Here is a 7,151-nt window from a genome sequence, read left to right as displayed (position 1 = left end):
ACGAGGGAGACACATCCCAGGAGAATGATATTTCCAATCAGCCTCTGCAGAGAGCTCAAGTAGGAATGCACCAATTATTCAGCACTTCGCACATATGCATATGGACAGTCAGTGCTTAACATGTGTGCATGTAAGGAGTCAGAGCTTTCCATGTTAATATGCATGGCCACGATTCACCACATGTAACATATATATTAAAAATTGAGATATAAATTAGTTTGTGAAGAATGGTCATTAGTATCTGTTGTTGTATTTGCTGTTGTTGAGAAACAAGAGTGCAGAGACAGAAACAGGGATCAGTGAAGCAGTAAAATTATTCTAAGAATGAATCCTATGCTACAAAAGATACTTTTGTTCCATGTTCAAGCGCCATTTTTTCTTTGTAGGACAGAAATGTGTTACATCAAAATGTAAAGGAAGGAAGTTGACCAGAAAGCAAATGTTTTCTTAGTCCGAAGCCATATCAACCTTCTTTGTACACACGTGTTCCCCCCCACCCCACCACACACACACTGGATGTAGTTTAAACTTGACTTTATACAGTCATTCTCTTATCCAAAATACTTAAGGAACACCTGCCGTGTGTTAGGTGGTATGCTGGGCACTGGAGAAGGGGCAAAACAATCAAAGCGCTAGAAAAACAGAGATGCCCAGACCCCGGCCGTGAATCACTCTTCCTAAGGACACAAAATGACCCACAGGTCACTCTGACATCCTGTGTTTGAGTCACAATTAACATAAAATGACAAACTCCAATGATTCAAGACTGTTTAAAACATGATGTCTTGGCTGGACACGGTGGTTCACACCTGTAATCCCAGCACTTTAGAGGCCAAGGCAGGTTAGGAGTTCAAGACCAGCCTGGCCAAAATGATGAAGCCCCATCTCTACTAAAAATACAAAAATTAGCCGGACATGGTGGCACACACCTGTCATCCCAGCTACTTGGGAGGCTGAGGCAGGAAAACCACTTGAACCTGGGAGGCAGAGGTTGCAGTGAGCCGAGATCGTGCCACTGCACTCCAGCCTGGGTGACAGAGCAAGACTCCATCTCAAAAAAACAAAGCAAAACAAAAAAACAAACAAAAACACAAAGAAACTTGGTGTCTTGATTACTGGGACAGAGGTATCCTCTGGACCAGTTATTTGCAAAGTATGTGGCCAAGGACCAGTTCAGGTTTTGTTTGTGTGCTTATTTGTTGACAAATTTCAGATCTGATAATTTTGTCTAAAACAATTAAAATGAACTACTAGAAAAAGAAATGATAAAAAGCATACAAAATAGAAGCCAGTCTTTTTATTACCAGTCATAAAATTCACCGACATAAAATTACTCTGTCAGATTGCTCTAAAACTTTTTGAGAGGTCAGCCTCCATGTCTGTGTTTAACATGTAAGAGACCAATGGCACATGGTCTGCAGATAGCCAGCAGCCTGGAGACCACTTCCCTGAGCAGCTCTGCTCAACACTGTACACTGGAATTTGAGCAAAGAGGAAGAAACTCAGGCAGAATTGTACTTCATGGAGGAAGACTCAAACCTAGTTTGGATATATACCAAAAGAGGATTGATTTGTGGATCAATGCAAGTCTAAAACCTAGGGAGTAGGAAAACTTAATTTTAATTGCTGGCAATAAAGTGGAAGAGTTCCTGGCACATAACAGGCACTTAACAAAAATGTGCTGAATGAATGAAAAAGTCCACGAGCCAACAGTGGCAGGTGATGTTGAGAAGAGCATGGAGATAGAACGAATAAAGCCCCTTGGGAAAGAATGGCGAGACGGATTATGGTGTCCCGTAAACACCTGGGAAAGGGGAGCAAAGGCACAGATGTCATCAGATAAAATCAAGATGCAAAAGCTGTGAACGTTTAGGAATTAACAAAATGAAATGTAACAGAAAAATGTAGATTCACTGATCCTAGGAAAAAGCAAACCACACACTGGCTCAACCATATAAAAAAGACAAAAGATGGCCGGGTGCAGTGGCTCACGCCTGTAATGCTAGCACTTTAGGAGGCTGAGGCGGGCAGATCATGAGGTCAGGAGTTTGAGACCAGCCTGGCCAATATGGTGAAACCCTGTCTCTACTAAAAATACAAAAAATTAGCCAGGCGTGGTGGCACACGCCTGTAGTCCCAGCTACTTTGGATGCTGAGGCAGGAGAATCACTTGAACCCAGGAGGCGAAGGTTGCAGTGAGCTGAGATTGCGCCACTGCCATTCAGACTGGCTACAGAGAGAGACTCTGTCAAAAAAAAAAAGACTCAAGGCCCTTGCTGGGCAGCAAGCTCAGCAGTGAAATGAGGGTTCGCAGTCTTAAATTTCATCGATAAAAGCACCGTGTGCAGACAAAAAAGTGTGCAGCCCTAAAATACTCTGCTCAGGTTGTACCATTTTACAAGAGGTTTTGATAGGAAAGAGAATATATGTAGGCAAGCATTAGAGTACCAAAAGATATGGAGATGTAATGACATGGAGAATGGTGAAGAATCTAGTGACGTTTCATCCACTAAAGAATTTGGCTGGGGCGAAGGAGAGAGGGTGGTAAAGGCACTACGCTCAGGTATTTCATGCTGTCTCTTGTAGAGAAAACATAAAGTTTATTTTTGTCATGGTGGAGGGAGAAGAGAGGGTTGTGCATACTAAGCAGTGAGATTTTAATGTTGATAGAAGGAAACACTTTGTAATAGTCAAATTAATCCATAGCTAAAGCAAGATAAAGCACTTCATCTCTGGAGGTGGTGAATTTTTCCCATTACAGGAGGGGTTCCAGCATAAACTGGGTAAGCATCTATCAGAATGCTCCAGGGAGGAGTCCTGGATTGGGTGGAAACTGGAATACCTATTGATGGGCAAGTTCTCCATGACAGAAGCCACTTTTTCATCAGAGAAGTATTTACTGAGCAACCGTTACATGCCTAGCATTGTCTGGGCACTGTGGAGACAGTGAAGAAAAGGAAAAGGTTCTCACTTCTTGGAGCTTATTTTCCACTGAACAAATAATGAACATGTAGCTGAACATGGGAATTATGTTTTAAGTGTCAAATCGAGTTTTCTTGTTAATAACAAGACAATTCTTAGAAGCAGGATTTGAGGAAAGAAGAATGTTCACATGGCAAAGCCCTTCCTTTAACATGTTGAAGAGCAAGTCTGGAAACAGAGTTACTCCACACTGGTGGGGGTCCTTCCAAACAGGGAGAGGAAGGAAGAAAGCTCTCCCCTCCTTATCGCAGGGCATTGTGGGACATTCAAGAGGAAAGGGAGTTGATTCAACGCCAAATTTTGGAATGATCCAAGAATTGGCAGGTAACACTGATCTTGAATGTGTCCATCCAAGGAAGTATGGTGATATCTAAGGACATGAGAGAGTGAAAGGCATTCCCTGGGAGGCCCCACGGTGCAGTTCCACCTCCAAAGCTCCCTGGTCCTTGGCTGGGCCACATTACTGCTTGGCCTATTCCCATACCAACATACCAGAATGAGAAAGAGAATGTATTTGTGTGTGGGTGGGCCGGGCATGAGAGGGTCTAAAATGAAAGACCAAATATTTATCTGAAGATACCTAATCACCTGAAAAAAATTAAAAATATGAATACAAAATCAAGTATTAAAAGAATATTTAAAATAAGTAAAGAAATCACAACACCAAATTTATTTTTTTAAATTAACCAATACTAGAAAATGCATACACTCCAGAAGGGCAACATAAGATCTTATTCATGAATTACTTGACACCTGTTTCCAATTCTCCTTTTCATACCTTTTTAGCCAAATGCTGTTTGATCACCTCTTCACATGTTGATGAATAATGAATATTTTTCTATACAGAATATAGAGGCCAGGCACAGTGGCTCATGTCTGTAATCCCAACACTTTGGGAGGCCAAGGATGGAGGATCGCTTGAAGCCAGGAGTTCGAGACCAGCCTAGGCAACACAGTGAGACCCTATCTTTACAAAAAAAAAAAAAAATTAGCTGGGCATGGTTGCACGCACCGATAGTCCTAGCTACTCTGGAGACTAAGGCAGGGAGGTCGCTTGAGTCCAGTGGTTAGAGGCTGCAGTCAGCTATGATGGCACCACTGCACTCCAGTCTGGGTGACAGAGACAGAATCTATCTCTAAAAAAAATAATAAAACAACATAGATAATTTAGTCTTACCTCTAGCACAGTTGATCAAAAGTTGTTTATTATTATTGATAGTTGGAAAATTCCTTTTTTTCATAACTTGCTGTTGGGGATGCCATGTAAATTATTAGGATGGTGATCAAATTTGGAAAAGGCCACATTTCATTCACATGATCTGCATAGCTTGGGGGATACTTTCCTACAGACTAGCTTCTGATTCTGTTTATGGCAAATTAGTTCCTACTCTACTTACAAGTTCCTGATGCTGAGCAACATGGGCCACACATCTATAACAATTTGACCCCTGTTCCTACACTGTGTTCAAGGTCAAGTCCAATGGCACAGTGAGAAGAAAGTATATTGCAAAAGCCATTCCTACTTGGGGGTGCCCTGAAGGAATGAGTGCTACATAATCTGTCCCAACACAGGTGCCCTAACTTGGCTTGTAGTTACCCAGATCCTCAACATGCTTGTGGCCACTTCAATGCCAGTAAACACAAAGGAAATATAAAGGAGGAATACATGGTGAAAAGCATGGTCTTCGTCAATTTTAATACAAATACACTAGTTTTGCAAATATTATACAGAGGTCTATGCAAAAGTGTGACCTGAAATCTTAATATTTATTAACTCCATGTAAATCTGCCTTGACTAAAAGGGCAATTCCGTCATCCGCAGATTACAGTGATTTTTTACTCTCTTCCAGTCATTTTATTTACTTACATTGCTTTTTATTGCTTTGGCTAAGGATAAAATAACTTGAAACGTTAATCATAATGACCTTTGTTCCTTAATTTACTGTTTATCTAGTGTTTTTCCATTAACATTTGACTGTTAGTTTTAAAAAGAGTTTTTAATCAGATATGGGTGCTAAATTTCATCAACATGCTTGGTCATGAAATCTTGTTATTGCAAAACAATTGATACCTTCCTCCAGCCCTTCTTAAGACCTTGAGGGAAATCAACTTAGAAGATGCCCTTCTTTGAAAGTTAAGAAGCATGCCATCACTTTCATACTTCCCCATGCAATTATCATATTCTCTGTGGAACCCAGGCCTTCATGGTCTCGCTCCTACCCTTTAGGAACATGAAATGGTACCTGGTCCTTTATCTGTCAGAGCTTAAAGACTGGATTAAAGATTATGAATCAACAAGATCGTCTCATGGGGCTTCAGAAGCAACAGAGGCTTTGAAAGAAACACATACTTCCCATCACATGAGGCTCTTGAATGAGAGATGCCATAATTTAGTTGACTTTATTCTTTATTTCTTTACATCGCTTATGCTCTTGCACCCCTAGTTGTCAGCAGCTTGGTTTTCCAGAATCTGAAGATTATTGTGAAAAACAAGGAGACAGTTATTGATCAGGAAATCAGTAAACAAAAAATCAGAAGGAAGAATACTATTTTTACAATTTAACCTCTCAAAAACGGTAAGAAAAAAATCAGAGAAAGAACAAGCAAATTGTGTAAATTTGCCATTTTATAGTTCAGTTTAAGACCGTAGTAAGCATCTAAGTCGCTCAGGTCTAAATTAAAGCAAGGAGAAAAAATCCAGTCCCATCTATATGTCAAAACCAACGTGTTTTCAAGTAGATAAACAACAGTGTGGGCAGGCAAGGTGGGGCATGGCGGTAATCCCAGCACTTTGGGAGGCCGAGGCAGGCAGATTGTTTGAGCTCAGGAGAATGAGACCAGTCCGAGTAACATGGCAAGACCCTGTCTCTACCAAAAATACATAAAAATAACTAGGTATGGTGATGTGTGCCTGTGGTTCCAGCTACTTGGGAGGCTGAGCGGGGAGGATCACTTTAGCCTGGGGTTGTGTAAAGGTTGTAGTGAGCTGAGATTGCACCACTGCAGTCCAGCCTGTGTGACAGAGTGAGATCCTGTCTCAAAAAGAAAAAAAAAAAAAACGACAGTGGTACTGTACATAAAACAGAGTTCTTGAGTCATCTAAAAAGAAGCCTTGGCTTGAAACCACTTAGTCACCCAGCTGCCACCTGTAACCTGATGAGCTGAGGTGGGCCAGCTGATCCAGGTGGGAGAGGGTAGGGCTCTCACGAGGCCCAGAACTCTCAGCACAGCACTTACGTATGTGCAGCAAGAAATACAGACCACTACAGCCATGACCAAACGCCTGTTTGGTCAAAGGTTCTGCAGAGAGCTGTGGAGCTTATTTGATTTCCACTTTTTTTTTTAATTACTTCCTCAGTAGGCTGCCAAATGCTGCACATTCAGAGTCTGGTTATTTGTGCACATACCTTTGTTACTTCCCACCTCCACCCTTAACACCAGTGCTTTACGTGGTAAATGGAATGAAACCCATTTCAAACCCATGGGCTTCATACCTCGGTCAGGCAGATCACAGTGCACTGGCCACCGTCAGCGAGATTTGTATGTCCTCATGCACACCTTCAAAAGTTCAGGACGTTCTAACTCACTTGTACCAGCTAGGTCAGAAAAAAAGAACAACTATTCTTGGGTTTTTATAGAACAAGACTTTTTCTATGAGCCATCGGGGCTTGGTGAGGACCACCTGTATCTGCTTACCTTAGTCCTGTCTGGAATGTTTCCTGTAAGGCTTGAAATCATTCAGGAAAATACGTTAGTTTGACATCCTCTCCCCATAGAAGAGTTTCAGAATCCTACTGTACAAGGTCTTAGGTACATATATACATATGATAAAAATAATATAATTAATAACACACACTTGCAGAATTTAACACTTCTCCAAAATCTTTATTATACTGTATTTTACTTAATTATCTCGTTCATTTTTATCTTCTCAGTATTGATCAGATATTAATCCAAAACAGATTTTTAAAAATATGTCTGAAGTCTCACTGTTTTACAAAATGTCATAAAAATACTAAATTTGTGACATTTTCGTACAAATATTAACTCTTTCAAATATGCATCATCAAATATTTCCAAAATTGCTTCCAAATCCGATGTTGTAGTTGTGATACTCCGGAACTACGCACCCATTTAAACCAATAGACTTAGTGATGCCACACACCAGA

The sequence above is a fragment of the Homo sapiens genome, chromosome 10 (assembly GCF_000001405.40).
Source record: "Homo sapiens chromosome 10, GRCh38.p14 Primary Assembly".
Lineage (NCBI taxonomy): Eukaryota > Metazoa > Chordata > Mammalia > Primates > Hominidae > Homo > Homo sapiens.
This window is presented reverse-complemented; position numbering follows the sequence as displayed.